Source organism: Homo sapiens, chromosome 3 (assembly GCF_000001405.40).
Source record: "Homo sapiens chromosome 3, GRCh38.p14 Primary Assembly".
In the NCBI taxonomy this organism is placed as follows: Eukaryota; Metazoa; Chordata; class Mammalia; order Primates; family Hominidae; genus Homo; species Homo sapiens.
Window position 1 is genome coordinate 188,783,253 of NC_000003.12, and position 17,492 is coordinate 188,800,744.

General features: G+C 38.6%; 1 protein-coding gene across 50 annotated transcripts in view, besides 1 other annotated feature; it reads left to right on the forward strand.

Moving 5' to 3' along the window:
• The window catches only part of LPP (LIM domain containing preferred translocation partner in lipoma), a 737,651-nt gene that overhangs the window by 630,232 nt on the left and 89,927 nt on the right, over positions 1–17,492 (forward strand). The window lies entirely within an intron of this gene.
• Positions 12,949–13,118: a silencer, noted in NCBI's record as "silent region_14996". NCBI's record gives its function as "represses an Ori minimal core promoter by ATAC-STARR-seq in GM12878 lymphoblastoid cells {active_cell/tissue: GM12878}" and the evidence as "EXISTENCE:reporter gene assay evidence [ECO:0000049][PMID:35858748]".

Here is a 17,492-nt window from a genome sequence, read left to right on the forward strand (position 1 = left end):
TAGAAATGCTGTCTCCACACTATTCACAATAGCAAAGACATGGAATCAACTTAAATGCCCATCAGCGACAGACTGGATAAAGAAAATGTGGTACATATACCCCACAGAATACTAAGCAGCCATAAAAAAGAATGAGATCATGTATTTTGCAGGAACATGGATGGAGCTAGAGGCCATTATCCTTAGCAAAGTAATGCAGGAATAGAAAAACTAATGCTGCTTGTTCTCATTTATAAGTGAGAGCTGAATGATGAGAACACGTGGACACAAATAAGGAAACAACAAGCACTGGGATCTACTTGAGGGTGGAGGGGGAGAGGAGGGAGAGGAATGAAGATAGCTGTTGGGTACTGGGCTTCATACCTGAGTGGTGAAATAATCTGTACAACAAACCCCCATGACATGAGTTTGCCTATGTGACTAAACCTTCACATATACCCCTGAACCTAAAATAAAAGTTTTTTTTAAAAAAAGAAAAAAAAATCCTGCCTCCATTTTTCTATCAAGTATTCTGCCTGCTACCAGGCCCCTATCCCTTCATAGACTAGCTGAGGACATCAGGGACTTCCATGTTGCCAAAACCGTGAGTCTAATCAGTGTTTACCTAACTTGATATCTCATTCTTACAAAACTGTCCCTCCCAACTTCCTTGGCACCCCAGCCTCCCGATTTTGTTTTTAATTTTTCAATAGGTTATTGGGGGCACAGGTGGTGTTTGGTTACATGAGTAAGTTCTTAGTGGTGATTTGTGAGATTTTCGTGCACCCATCACCCAAGCAGTATATACTGCACCATATTTGTAATCTTTTATCCCTCGTCCCCCTTCCACGCTTCCCCCCAAATCCCCAAAGTCCGTCGTATCATTCTTATGCTTTTGCGTCCTCGTGGCTTAGCTCCCACATATCAGTGAGAAAATATGATATTTGGTTTTCCATTCCTGAGTTACTTCACTTAGAATAATAATTTCCAATTTCATCCAGGTCACTGTGAATGCCATTATTTCATTCATTTTTATGGCTGAATAGTATTCCATCATATATATATATTCCATCATATATATATATTCCATCATATATATATATTCCATCATATATATATATTCCATCATATATATATATTCCATCATATATATATATTCCATCATATATATATATTCCATCATATATATATATTCCATCATATATATATATTCCATCATATATATATATTCCATCATATATATATATTCCATCATATATATATTCCATCATATATATATATTCCATCATATATATATATTCCATCATATATATATATTCCATCATATATATATTCCATCATATATATATTCCATCATATATATATATTCCATCATATATATATATTCCATCATATATATATATTCCATCATATATATATATTCCATCATATATATATTCCATCATATATATATATTCCATCATATATATATATTCCATCATATATATATATTTCCATCATATATATATTCCATCATATATATATTCCATCATATATATATATTCCATCATATATATATATTCCATCATATATATATATTCCATCATATATATATATTCCATCATATATATATATTCCATCATATATATATATTCCATCATATATATATATTCCATCATATATATATATTCCATCATATATATATATTCCATCATATATATATATTCCATCATATATATATATTCCATCATATATATATATTCCATCATATATATATATTCCATCATATATATATATTCCATCATATATATATTCCATCATCATATATATATTCCATCATATATATATATTCCATCATATATATATATTCCATCATATATATATATTCCATCATATATATATATTCCATCATATATATATATTCCATCATATATATATATTCCATCATATATATATATTCCATCATATATATATATTCCATCATATATATATATTCCATCATATATATATTCCATCATATATATATATTCCATCATATATATATATTCCATCATATATATATATTCCATCATATATATATTCCATCATATATATATATTCCATCATATATATATATTCCATCATATATATATATTCCATCATATATATATATTCCATCATATATATATATTCCATCATATATATATATTCCATCATATATATATATTCCATCATATATATATTCCATCATATATATATATTCCATCATATATATATATTCCATCATATATATATATTCATCATATATATATATTCCATCATATATATATATATATATATTCCATCATATATATATATACACACACACACACACACACACACACATACCCACACATCCCAGTTTCTTTATCCACTTGTTGATTGATGGGCATTTGGGTTGGTTCCATGATTTTGCAATTGCGAATTGTGCTGCTATAAACATGCTTGTGCAAGTATCTTTTTCGTATGACTTCTTTTCCTCTGGGTAGATACCCAGTAGTGGGATTGCTGGATTAAATGGTGGTTCTACTTTTAGTTCATTAAGGAATCTCCACATTGTTTCCATAGGACCAGCCTGCTGATTTTCTCTTTACCTATGTCTCAGTTACCTTTGCTGTTTTGTATTCTCCCTGACTCCTAAGTTGTCCAGTCTCTCTGGGATCATTTTCTTTCTCAATTTTCTCTTTAGTCACCCTCATATCCTCCCAAGCTTTTAGATATCATCAGTATGCTGACATGTCTCAAATAGGTACCATGATGGTTTTGTTACTATTTTTTATCTTAGCCATTCTGATAGGTGTGTAGTAATTATCTCATTATAGTTTGACTTGCTTTTCTCAAAGTGCTAATGATATTAAACATCAGTGCAGGCTGGGCCCGGTGGCTCATGCTTGTAATCCTAGCACTTTGGGAGGCTGAGGCGGGTGGATCACTTGAGGTCAGGAGTTCGAAACCAGTGTGGCCAACATGCTGAAACCCTGTCTCTACTAAAAATACAAAAAAAATTACCCGGGCATGGTGGCGGGTGCCTATAATCCCAACTACTTGGGAGGCTGAGGCAGGAGCATTGTTTGAACCTGGGAGGCAGAGGTTGCAGTGAGCCAAGAGCATGCCACTGCACTCCAGCCTGGGCAACAGCGTGAGACTCCGTCTCAAAAAAAAAAAAAAAAAAAAAAAAAAAAACCAACCATCAGTGCAGAAGAGGATGTGGAGTGGAGAGACTGCATCAATTATATTTTGCTGATGAGAATATAAGATGGAACAACCATTCTAGAGAAAGTTTTGGGAATTTCTTCTTTTAAAACTAATCCTGCAACTACCATGTGACCCAGCAGTTGCACTCCTGGGCATTTATCCCAGGGAAATGAAGACTTGTATATCCCAGGGAAATGAACAAATCAAATATTTGTTCATAGCAGCTATATTTGTAAGATTCCCAACCTGGAAAAAACCCAGATGTCTTTCAACAGGTGAATGGTTAAACGGTGGCACATTCTTACCCTGGAATACGATTTAGCAATAAAAGGAAGGAGTTGTTGATATATGCAACACCTTGGGTGAATCTCAAAAGAATTATACTGAGTGGGAAGGGCCAACCCCCAAAGGCTGCATACTGTATGATTCTATATATAACATTCTTGAAATAACACTATATAAATGGAGAACAGATTAGTGTTTGTCAGGAGTTAGGGATGGGAGACAAGAAGTCAGGGATTAGGAATTGGGGGTTTGGGGTAGCTGTGGTTATAAAAGGACAATAGAAGGGATCATTGTGGTGATGGAACTGCTCTGTATCTTTGCCATGGTGGCAGATACATTAATCTATACAGGCAGTGCAATTACATAAATCAAATACACACACACCTGCATGAACTTACACATATATACAGACAAGTGGAGAAATCTGAATAAGATTGATAGACTGTATCAATCTCATATTCTGGCTGTAATATTGTACCATAGTTTTACAAGGTATTATTGTTGGGGGAAACTGGATAAAGGGTACTTAGATCTCTACGTTATTTCTTTCAACTTCATATGAATCTACAATTATAAGAAAATTTAAAGTTTAATTTATAGAAAAGGCAATTTTAGATTTGAAATAAAATTCCTACATTAACTGAAAAATTAATTAAATATAAATTTAAAATCAAAATTAAAAACCCTTTGACAACTTTAGATCTCTCTCTCTTACACACACACGCACACACACACATACATCTAAGCTTTATTGTCTTTGCTCTACTAACAGTTCAGCTCCCTGTAATTCAGTTTCTATCCCCACCTCTCCACTTACACCACACTTCTGAACATCACCAGTGACCTCTTTGATGTTTAATACACTTAAGACTCTTCAGTCCTTATCATTCTTGAGCTCTTGCAGCATTTAAAGATGTTGACTCTATCTTTGTTTCATTTGACTTCTATAGCACCGTACACTCTGGGTTTTCTTCCTATCGCTGTACACAACTTTCTACCGTTTTTAATAGATTTCCTCTCTTCATTCCTTAAATTCTCCATTTTTCTTGAGTTCTGCCCTAATCTCCCTTCTTGTCTCAATCTGTACTCCTGAGTTATTTCATCTGCTTCCGTGAGTACAAATATCATCTGTGTGCTGAGAACTCTCTGGCCAAAATCTGCAGCTGGATCTCTCTGTAAGCTCCAGATATGTATCTATCATTTTAGCCTGCAGTCTTCATAGATTGGCCCATAGGCCCACAAATGCAACAGTTTCAGACAGAACCCAAGGTGTTCCCTTTTAAACCTGCTCCTCTCTGTGTTCCTTTTCCATGAATGGCATTACCTTGTTGCTCCAACCAAAGGCACAGGAGCTGGCCTGTATCCTTCCTCTTCCTTCAGTATCCCCTCTTATCCACTTATTAACCAATTTCTGACATAATACTTTGGCTTCCTTTATATCTTCTTTCATTTATGAGACAAGTTCCTTCAGTGTTTTCTAGTGACTTTTCATTACTTGGAAGAGACAGTTCATACTCCTCACACTACCATGTAAAGAGCTCATAGCCACATGCACACACATGCACATCCACTTGTGCACACATACCTAAACACACACCCAAAACAGAGAGATTGTCTCATGCCTGTGGCTGGGTAAACACTTGTCCTTGATGGAATGTGTAGCTTTCCCATCTCCATCCCAATCACCTAGCCAAAAACTCTCCTCCTTCAGGCCTCCATTTAGACATCACTTTTCCCTCAAGTATGTGTGATTCTTGTGCCTTATCCTCCCCATCATCCTGTAATAGCATCCTCTGCTTTTCCTCATCATAGCATTTAGAAGACTGTATTTAAATTACCTATTTGACACATACCTCAGTAGCTATACATTTTCCCTAAGGGGAGGGTTGATGTCTTGTTTCTCATTGCATCCTGCAGTAAGCACCGAGTAAGTGTTTCTTGACTCTGGGGCTGTACTGAGTTGAAGAAGGATGACATCACTGACTACAGAACCCTTTGTATAAGCATCAAAGGGGTAGCAGTGGGGTAAATGATCACATCCTGGCTAAATGGTTCCGATTCCTACAACCCTGCAGCACGCCCCCCCGGCTCTAAACCTTTTAGTCATTTCCTGTGAATCTTGCCAGCACTCATTTCATTTTTTGTTTTTTCCATTTTCTTCATCTTTCCCACATAGTATAGACCAGAATGAATCAAGGTCTAACTTATGCTGACTGTCCGTGTTGCATCATCAGTCTTTGGGGCCCCTTCTCAGTTTCTGTGGCTGCTCTTGTGCCTGCTGACTCCATCCCTGTAGACCTTGCTGTTCCTCCCAGTCTGTGGCCACTAACCTCAGTTATTTTTACTGAATGTGTTACCTCATCCATAGTGAGTCTTTTGTTGTTGTTGGGTTTTTTTTTTAGCAACAATGTATTTTTTAATTAAGGTATGTACATTGTTATTTTAGACATAATGCTATTGCACACTTAATAGACTACCATATAGTGTAAACATAACCTTTACTGCACTGGGAAACCAAAAAAATAAGTGTGACACACTTTATTCAATAGTCACTTTATTGCAATGTTCTGGAACCCTTTTTGTTGTTGTTGTTGTTGAACGGTTATTATAACATGTCTGATTTAGAGGAAAGTACACTGAACTGAAAATCAGGAAAGCTGGGCCCAGGGGGCTGGCCTTGAGCAGCTGACTAAGCCTGTACATTTAATTCAAAAAGAGCTACTCAGGTTATTCCCTTAATCGGTCTTATACTTTATGACAGTAAGCACTTACCTCGTTCTGTCACATGGTGTGGCCAGATTATGCATGTACTATGATTCAAAACATTCACGTAAATAAATCTTCCTAACATACAAGAATTATGTGTCTGTGGTGCTTTCCAGCTTTTGATGTGCTTGCAAACCCATTTTCTCATTTAATCCTCACAAAGTTGGAAACCAGCTCACTTACTTATTCATGTTTACAGGAATAATCAACATTGATGCCAATAATTTTGATTATATATTTTAAAAATCTCATGAAATTGGTTTTAAAAGAATCATTTATTAGACAAAAAGAGTGAACCTATCAACAGGCAATTCACAGAAGAGAAAATAAAAATAACAAATGAACCAATGAAATGATGTTCAAATTATTTAAAGAAATACAGTTTAAAATATTATTTTTTCATTCTCAGACCAGCCGGCATTTATAAGTTCAATGCTTGGTATTGGCAAAAGTATGGGAAGCATGTACTCACATGGGCTTGTGATAGGAGTACAAATTAATACAACCTTTTCGAAACAAAATTTAGCACTATCTTTCAAAATTTTAGGTGTGCACTATTTTTGACCCTGCAACTCGATTTCAGACAGTAGGCGTATTTGCATAAAGGCACAGTGGTATTCTGTTTCAGAATACACATTGCAACATTTTTATGATAGAATAAAAGGACTAGTAAAATAAAGTACAGCAACTGCATGCAATAATAACATGGAGGCTATCAGAAAAATAAGACAAATCTATATATGCTAATTAAAGACACCTTAAAAACTATTTTAGGAAAAAACAAGGTACAAAATAGGACATAAAGGATCTGATTTGTGTTTGAAGAAAAATTTCAAACATGAGTGTTTATATGTGAATGTGTGTGTGGTGTGTGCGTGTGTGTGTGTGTACATGCTTATACAGGCATGTATAAGCAATCTGATACATGCCTGTATAAGTATTACCCAATCTTTTAGTGATTATCTCTGGAAAAGAGTTTTACTTTTCATTCTCTACCCTTCTATGACAGTTGAATTTTTGAATTTTTAAATGAATAAATGTGTGTGTGTTGTGTATTTTTAAAGTTAACATACAGACTGAGCGCAGTGGCTCACGCCTGTAATCCTAGAACTTTGGGAGGCGAATCACCTGAGGTCAGGAGTTCAAGACTAGCCTGGCCAACATGGTGAAACCCTTGTCTCTACTAAAAATACAAAAATTAGTCGGGTGTGGTGGCGGGCACCTGTAATCCCAGCTACTCGGGAGGCTGAGGCAGGAGAGTCGCTTGAACCAGGAGGTGGAGGTTGCAGTGAGCCAAGATCATGCCACTGCACTCCAGCCTGGGCGACAGAGTGAGACTCTGTCTCCAAAAAAAAAAAATGTTAGCATATAGCGTAGAATTCAGCTTTTCTTATTCTAGGTAGCGATGGTGCTTTTCACTGCTTTGCCCAACTTAATTGACCCAAGTAGAAAAGTCTTCAAAAAAAAAAAAACGCTTTAGAAAAACACTTTAGACACTTTAGATTTATGTGACTTCAAAAGTCAAAAATGGTAATAATCCTGCTTAGGCAGAAGCCTTGCCCTCAGTCCCAAAACATGATGGACAAGCGGGTGACTTACCTGTGGCTTTTCTTGTATCTTGCAGTCTGTCAGCAATCATGAAATGTAGGCCTCAGAGTGGAAGGGCCCCTAGAGACCATCCATTGCCTCTCAGGAGCATGGTCATTCTGCAGATCAAGGTCCTGCTCTGGGAGAAATGGGTGCACACTCACTCTGCGTTCTGTCCAGCCCTTCTGCCACCTACATTTCTATGCTTTTCTCTTACTGCTAAATAGCTTCCTAAAGGAAAAGTGAATGGTCTTTGTGAATTCAAACCTCATTCTGTTGCTTCCCTATTTAAAACTCTTCAATGAGTCCCTCTTCCCAATGCTCTGTCTCTAGTTGTTCTGTATATAAAAGCTAAACTTCTTCACATGTTTCTGTTTCTCTTGTTTATGCGATCGTTTGTCATTGGCCTTGTGTTGGTGATGTATGTTCTGAATGAATAGGCTCCAGCAATTAAGTGACTGAGATGAAATGCTTTTGTATCTCTCTAGCCTCATTTCTTTTTTTTTTTTACCACTGTGATGCAAACACATGGAACTACTGTTCTCCATTGCACCATGATTAGTCTATCCGTAGTCTTTTGTGTGTGATCTTTCTGTACCTAGAACACTCGTCTTGGGCTTTTGCCTGGCCAGTACATTGCCATCCTTCAGGTCTCAGCTGATTTTTCACTTCTTCCATGGAGCCCCCTCTGACTTCACAAGATTGCGTTGTCCTGCTCATATGTCCTGCTCAGAGCATGCTGCATGTCTCACTTCATAGCACCTGTTATTTTTTTAGTATAGATTTTGGTTTTGTTTGCCTGCACCCCATTCCTTGAGGACAGGGAAAGTTTCTGTCCCCCTGTTGTGTTGAGGACACTATTAAGTTCCCTGCCATTACCTGGTGCTTAACACATAGTAGATGCTCTATTAGTGTTGGAATGGATGAGCTCTAGTGAGTAAGCGCCTAAGACAACACAGACCCTAAGGTCTTCTGAACCCAACCAAGTGCCCTGTTTTTGCTGCTATACCAGGCTGTCCTTCTTCCCACTGCCATCCTCCTGGTTCTGTTCTCTCAGCCCAAGCACCGTGTGTAGCCTAATCATGTATATCTATTCTCAGAGTTTGTAGGACAGGATACGAGTTAACAACTTAACGCCCTTCAAGATTTTGTGTAACAGGGAAAGGAGAGAACACCTGGAATGGTTCCCGCTTGGAGAAACGTTTTTCATCCTTCTTAGTTTCAGCTCCAATCAGATGGATTCAGCCTGTGACAGTCAACATTTACAGCCCTTGGGAGCAGCTCCATACTCACCTCCTTTGCCTGCTTACCGCAAGCTCACTGCCTCCTCCTCAGATTGTGCCAGACATACCAGGTTTGCTGCCGGTGAGAAGCAACAATCCAAATCCTACCTTTCTGTTCAGGTCCCAGTAAAATCTTCACTGGCAGCATTTTAGAATTGCCCCTTCCCTCTTCTCTCAAAGGGCTGCTGTTCAGCTGGCAGGACCAGCTTCTCTGATGCAGTGCAGTTCAGTGCAAACCAACGGAAAGCCCACAGTTTTTTTGTTTTTTTGGTTTTTTTTCTAGGTGTAAACAAACCTGGTTGATTGTGAGGCAAAGAAAAATAACAAAAACAAGTGAGAATACATTAGATTAATTTACTCTTTCTTTTTTCCCGCTCATTCATAATGTGATTGAAATCAGAAGTAAAGAAAGTAAAATCAGAGTGAGTTCCCTCTGCTCAGTCACCCACCCTGATCACAAGACTTTTGGAATACTGGGAGGCACTGCATTTAAGTAAGTATCAGCTGTATGGAGAGTATGAGGTTAAGATGATGCTGGATTTAATTTAAAGTCTCCTCACTGGTTTGCGTGAAGGAAGATTTTTATCAAGCAGAGTGAAAGAGACAGAATCTTGAAGCTTCCGCAGAGGGGAAGAAGACAGGGCCGTGCACTGCGAGTCAGTATGCCTCCAGTCCCTCTGGTGGGCACCGGTCCACATCACAGGAAGCCCAGCTGTGGTGGCTGTCAGTGTCAGAGGGGCTGGCAGACAGTAGTAGAGGCCCAGAGAAGTTACTTTGTACGTATCAGTCTAGAAGGAAGAGATTATGAAGATTAGTCAAGCCTCCCTTTCTCATTTATCCTTTTTTTTTTTTTTTTGAGATGAAGTCTTGCTTTGTCTCCCAGCCTGGAGTGCAGTGGCACGATCTCTGTTCCCGCAACCTATGCCTCCTGAGCTCAAGCGATTCTCCTGCCTCAGCCTCATTAGTAGCTGGGATTATAAGCACCCACCACCACGCCCAGCTAATTTTTGTATTTTTAGCAGAGATGGCGTTTTGTCATGTTGGAGAGACTGGTCTTGAACTCCTGACCTCAGGTGATCCTCCCACCTCAGCCTCCCAAACTGCTGGGATTACAAGCATGAGCCACCATGCCCGGCCACTTTCTCATTATACTGATAGCAAAATTGAGACCCACATCAGCGATCTAACCTGTCATTTCAATGATGTCCTGACATAAGAGTAAGCGGCCAGCCTGCCCTTTAAGTAAAGCCTACTCATATGGGAGTATATGTGCTTTATTAATTAGCAGAAGGGTATCCAGGCCTTCTTGGAAGCTGTCTTCTCTCTGTATGGGTAAATGGGCAACTTTTCTAGCCTTCCGTCTAATTGGGTTTAATATCAGTGAAAGAATCTTTAAGAAGGTGTGCCCTTAGGTGCTAGGGCCAGTATTGTAGGTGGCAACCAGGTACATTAGTCTCTGCCCTTGTGGAACTCATATTCCCATGTTTGTAAAGGAGTCTGGGCCTCTTATATGTGGTAAATGAAGTGACTGTCTATGTAGTTGCCTTTGCAGGACACAAGTCCTTGCCTTAGTTTCCCTCCAGCCAGGACTGCCCCACCGAGACTATTCATAGCTCCAACTTAAGGTGCTTTAATAAAGGGCAGAAATCATGACAAGAAAGGACGCTTTTCTTCAGGCAATGAATTCAGCCTGATTTTAGAAGCTGTTTTGGAGAGGTCTCTGTAAGCATATTACATTTTATTCCCTGCAGTACAATATTTATACATGGATAATTTGTATTGACAGTTGATAGTTACATAGAGGTATATCTCACTGGTTCTCAACTCTAGCTGCATTTTAGAATCACCAGGAGAATTTTCTTTTTCGATTCTGATGCCTAAATCTCTGCCCTAGAACAATAAAATCAGAATCTCTAAAAGTGAGGCCCAGACATGGGCAGTTTTGTTATTATTTATCATTGTTTAATAATAAATATTACGTAAAAGTCAGACTTTTAATGGCTCATTTGTAGGGAGGAGAACTTGCCATTTCCCAAAGTATCACCAGCATAAAAGGTGAATTTGTATTTTGTTCTCTAAGTTTCTGGCATATTCTGAAACTGCAATTTAAGTGACTCTCCTACCTCTGTCTTACTCCCAATTTATATTTAGCTGGATTCATATTAGAGGGCAAGAAGGGGCAAATAGAAAAAAAGTGATCTTTATCAAACCCATTTCCTTGTGTTAGAAAAACGATTTGTTGGAAAAAGCCATCGAGGAGATTTGAGATTCAGCACAAAAAAGAATTCGATATCACCTAATACAAGCTGAGAAGGGCTACCTCAGGGGGTCCTTGTGCACCTCACTAAGGAAGGTCTTTGGCAGAGGCAGAGACCATGACAAAGGTTTTTTTTTTCTTTATTGGACAAGAGCCAGAAAAAAATGGCCCCAAGATTATGCTCAGCCCCGGGAACCTACAGAAACCATGGAGCAGTAGGAATGGGTAGCTAGCCGTGTTAGAAGTAAATTTGAGGCCGGGTGCGGAGGCTCATGCCTGTAATCCCAGCACTTTGGGATGCCAAGGCAGGAGGATCACGAGGTCAGGAGATCAAGACCAACCTGGCCAACACGGTGAAACCCCGTCTCTACTAAAATACAAAAATTAGCTGGACGTTGTGGTGTGTGCCTGTAGTCCCAGCTACTCAGGAGGCTGAGGCAGGAGAATTGCTTGAACCCGGGAGGTGGAGGTTGCAGTGAGCTGAGATCATGCCACTGTACTGCAGCCTGGCGACAGAGCAAAACTCCGTCTCAAAAACAAAACAAAAACAAAAACAAAAGAAGTAAATTTGATTAATGAAATCTACCTTTATGTTTTTACCCAAAGTGTTATCAGGAAAGATAACGTTAAAAAATACACGTGATTTTCTTAATGTCTTAGTTTGAGCAAGTAATTCTAACTACTCTAGCAAACACATTTTTAAATCTCAGGGATTTAACACAATGCAAGTTTATTTTTGTCTGACAAAAATCCCCCATGTTTAGCCAGTGCATTCCACGTGGGATTCAGAGACTCTGTCTTATTCCATCCAGTGGTTCCACCAGTCTCTAAAGCCTAGAGGTCCTATGCCAGATTATGTGAATTAAAATTAGAAGAGAGTATTAAGGATCTTCTGGGACAGTGGTGGGATGGTTACAGTTTCCAGACTCATAAATGTAAAACAGTGTTCCTTCTACAAATATTCTATTGGCTGGGGCTCATTCACTTTCACACAGTAACAAAGAATGCTTGGAAATGTGGCCACACTGTATACCCCCAAAAGAAGAGGAATTAGTTTGGTTCAAATTTATCTAGTCTCTGTCATGCTTTCATCATCATCATCATCATCGTCATCATCATCGTCATCAGCTACTGTGGATCAGCATACTTTCCTGCAATTTTCCAAATCGAATTTTGTGGTTATATATTAACAGAGTATATAAAATTCATTTTCCCTACATAATATGTATTTTATTCCTATATGTGTTTTCTGCAGTGGTCTGATTTATATCAATGACTAACATATAGATTCGATTTGCACCAACTAGATAATTTAATCTCTTACTCCTCCTTGTTGACAGTTGGTGGGGTGCGCCTTATTTTTGAAGAAGAAAATGCTTATCCAGTTATTCAGCCAATCTCAGTTGACAGCCTATCACATGTCAGGCACTGGAAATTCCGTGGTGAGCAAAAACAGACAAGTGGCCTGCTTTCAGGAAGTTTCTATTCTGTTAAGGGAGATGGACAGAGTGTTTTAAAAGAAAGGAGTATTGTCCTAAGATAATTAAAACACAGGAACCTGACTTAGACAGAGATTAAGACAGGCATTCCTAAGGAAGTGATACTTCACTGAGTTATGAGGAGTGAGTAGGAGTTTAGACATCTCCAGACAGTGCAGCACGCTGATTTGAGGAACTGAAAGAAGGCCAGTGTGGTCAGAGCTCAGAGACTGAGGGAGAAGCATGATGCAGGATGAGTTTTGAGAGATAAACCATGAAGGACTTAGGCCTTGCTAAGCATTTTGGCCTTTTTCCCAAAAGTACAGGAAAGCCTAGCCATTTTATTATTTTATACCACCCATCCATTACAGGCTTTTCCTGAAAGGTCTTTGGCAATAGGGGAGCTATGGAAGCAACATCATGAGTAAGTGACTGGGGGAACCTTTTCCCTAAGTGTTGTGGTTGCTAGCCACACACCATGTATTCAACATCTCTCCAACTCTCCTCATCGTTTCCCAGAGCTGAAAGTAAGATGAGCACGAAGAAACCATGTTTAGTTAAGAACATGACCCGAAGAGTGAAAGGTATTTCCTGTTCCAAATAGGAGCCCAGTCTGCATTTTCTACTACATGATTTAGTAGAAAGACACATTGGATTTGAACCATATTTCTTCTGCTAGCCAATTCCATCTTATCTACAACTTTTTGATAATTATTTTGAGAAATAGATCTAGATCACAGCCTTCCAATTCCTAGGCCAGGATACTTTCCATTTTTCTACACAGACCCCATTGCAGTCCTCCCTTCTTCACAATCTTCAAAATATCCTTCTGATTGAACCAGATATCTTATTCTTCATCCCGTTTCCTGCCCCCTAAAATGACCTATCTTTCCCTTCTAAAACTTCCACTAACTTTAAAATTGGAGCTCAAGGCTTCCATCTCCACAGACTCTGCCCTGACAACAAATTGGTTGGTTTTATTTTCTTCCCAATGAATAGAATAGCCGTTAGAGGGAATTGTCTTCAGCTCTTTTCCCCTCCTCCTCCTCCTCCTCCTCCTCTTCCTCTTCCTCCTTCTTGCAAATACAAACACAGCAGGGCTCTATGCAGCTGGTTACTCTAGGCTCTGGTAACCTAACATAGCAGGGGAGGACAGAAGTCAATAGCGTGAGAAGTCTGTTTTTGTCACGGATTTGCTAGAAGCTATTAAAGTGTTCTTCCTAAGTCTGTTACTTCATAGGTTGAGGGAAGTAATGCATCCCACACAAGAGGACTGGGATATGTTTAAAGTAGTAGGAAGGCATTTGCCACTATTCTAGTCCATCCTGCCCATGCTGCCTAATGTTTGTTCCTACAGATCAAAATCTCATAATCTTCTAGACTTCTAGATACAGAAGAGTTGGAGAGATCAAAGCCTTGCCTCTGACCCAGATTATTCGATCTCATCTGGCATATCCTACACTCTAGCCATCCTGACCTGCCGTGTGTTCCCCTAAAGCTCCCATCCTTTTCTGACTTTGCTTTTCCTCATTCTGTCCCCTGCATTGAAATGCCTTTCCCACATCTCTATGTCTAAATCTTACATGGCCAATTCCAACGTAATCTAATCTCTGAAGATTCCCTTTGCTCCCCAGTTAGAAGTAGTCACTCCCTGCTCTGCTCACTTTTTGACATATATTAATTTATATAGCTATGCATTTATATGTGTATGTATTATATTCCTTACAAGAGAAGCTTTTGAGAGAAGGGCCTATAACTTTTCTTTCTATTTGTGTTTCCCAAAGCTCCTTCTGGTGGGAAAAATGCTTTGAGGTTGAATTAAGCTCACATTGAACTCTATGATGAAACCATTTGCTTATGAACTTGGACAAGTTTCTTTACAACTCTGAACCTTCTGAATTTTCCACCAGGAGAATGGGAATGAATAAGTAAGAAAACTTATAAGACAGCTCCTGGTGTAGGGCCTGACTCATGTCAGGTTCCCAGGAAGGCCACTTTATATCCTTCATACATTTGTATGTCTGTGTTGACATTGAATGTTTGCATGACATATAAAATATAAGTAGTAATGACAAATTTAATAGTGAATACTTACAGTAGTGCATTTCATCCTATGAAACGGGCAATCTGGCCCATTCTATATAATAGGGGAGAAAATAGAAACTTAGATTTACTAATTAGTTCAAGTTGGCACAGATATAAGGGGATCTCAGACTTCAACTCAGGCAGTCAGGCAGGGCCTATACTCTTGATATTCCTTTCTTGATACTTTCTCAGTATCAAATTACCACATAATAGACAATGCCACTCATAAATCTAGCCCACTCTAGGAACATAATAAGGCCTGTTGAGACATTCAGAGATGTCTCCCTGATCTTCAAAGATGAATTTTTATTCTTCCCTAAGCTGCTGTCTCTTCAGTCTCAACATCCTAAGTTCATTTTATCTTTCCTCACAGGTCAGGTTTTCAGCTCTAACTGTGTTCATCCTGGTGGCTCTGCCCTGGACATACTGCAGTTCTTTTATGTACCTCTTATCGTATGGGGTACAATGGCTTTCGGTACTGCTCAGTGAGGGGAGAGAAATAGATAGTGTAGTTTCTGATGTCAAGGAACACTTTAGAGAGACCTTAATTAATGTAGCCATATGTTGACTTCCTGGAGCACTCATAACAACATGGGAAGCCCACGCTGGGAAGATGCTGAGTAGGAATAAGAGAACAATGCTAAGAGAAGGGAAATTTCACCGTCTGTGAAGCGTCTGTTTAGATTTTATGTTTAAACTTTATGAACTCTGTCACTTGCTGGTGAATTTTCTTGCTCAGTATCTTAAAATACAGCTGCAGTGTGGGTTCCACCCTCTTCACTTAAAAGGGTGATTAACTGTTTGTGATGAATAATTATTTAATTGCCAGTTCAGCTACATGTGTGTAGTTGTTTTGCTTCTTTCCTCTTCAGTGTGAGCCAAATCTTCTCAATAATAAAAATAATCCAGAATTAGTCAACTGCCTTTTATCATGTTCTCATTCAGCCTGCTGGAGCAAGAACATTCCAATTCTACATCACCTTTAGCTTAAAAAGTAAATAAATAGAAGCTCTCACTCAGCCAGTTGATAGTTTTACTCTCACAGCCTCTCCTGTAACTAATAAAGTCTTGACTTCATCTTGAACCTTTTACTCTATCTTTGGATAAAAATTTAATCAGAAAGAATTATTGCTCTTTTAATACCTGTTTAACCTTTACATTCGCGATGGGTACAAAACCACTTAAGATTTAAAGCTCTCTTGTTATGGACTTGTATGCTGACCTACTTTTCCTCAGAGATATTTTTTGCAAGAATTGTTGAAGCTTGACATGGGGATCACTGCAAATGTCTCAGCTTTGCCATTCACTGCTTTCCATTCCTATGTCCTCCTTGCCCTGTTAATTATTTTAACAGAGACTTGCTATTTTAAGGAAGCTCTTTATCGTTACTAAATCTTTTTTTATTGTTAAACTCCTTTTTCTTTCCAGCATAGAAGTATGTCATGTTTTCTGTCTTCAGAATGTGCAAGTGCTTACCTTCTCATAAAGTGTGCCTGTTACCTTAATTTTATAGTCTTTATCACAAAAAGGTACGTAAGTGGGGTTCAGAATAGTGTCTTGCACTTAAGGTTTAACTTAGGTTTTAGTTTCTTCATGCAAGCAACTTGCATATGTAGAGAGGCAGCATGCTATATAGTGCAATGTTCTTCTTGGTTTTTAATTATAAAAGTGATTTCTTTTCTAGTAAAAAATCAAGTTATGCACAAATATATAGAGTGAAAGTGTTTTCAACTCCTCTCTCTAGAGGAAGCCACTAGCAGTTGGCATATTTCCTTCCAGAATTTGTTGTGTATTATAAACCTATATACGTGCGTATGTATACACACACAGTAGTACACACATTGTTCTGCACCTTGCTTCTTTGTTTTCCCTAAGAATGTATGCTTGATATATTTCTAAAAATAATAATGTATATGGGTCTAAGTATTTTTAGTGATATAGAATTCTATAGGATACATGAACCGTAACTCCCTTAGTCATTTCTCTACTGATTAGTATTTAACATTGTTTCTTTTTTTTTTTTTTTTGCCATTAAAAGCAAATATCTTTGTGCAATTATCTTCATGAAATGTTGAAGCTTTCTTTTTTTTTTTTTTTTTGAGATGGAGTCTCGCTCTGTCGCTCAGGCTGGGGTGCAGTGGCGCGATCTCAGCTCACTGCAAGCTCCACCTCCCAGGTTCACGCCATTCTCCTGCCTCAGCCTCCCGAGTAGCTGGGACTACAGGTGTCTGCCACCACGCCCGGCTAATTTTTTGTATTTTTAGTAGAGGTGGGGTTTCATCGTGTTAGCCAGGATGGTCTCCATCTCCTGACCTCGTGATCCGCCCACCTTGGCCTCCCAAAGTGCTGGGATTACAGGCGTGAGCCACCACACCCGGCCAAAACTTTCTGCAGGATATATTTTTAAAATGGGTTTTCCAAGTCAAAAGTGTATGTATGTTTCCATTTTGATACCTACTGAAATAGCTCTCCAAAAGTGAAACCAAATTTATTCTTTTCAATGGTATGTAAGAATGCCTGATTCCCCATACTCTCATTAACCTTGAGCATGTTCCATCTTTTAAATTTTTGCCAAGAAGA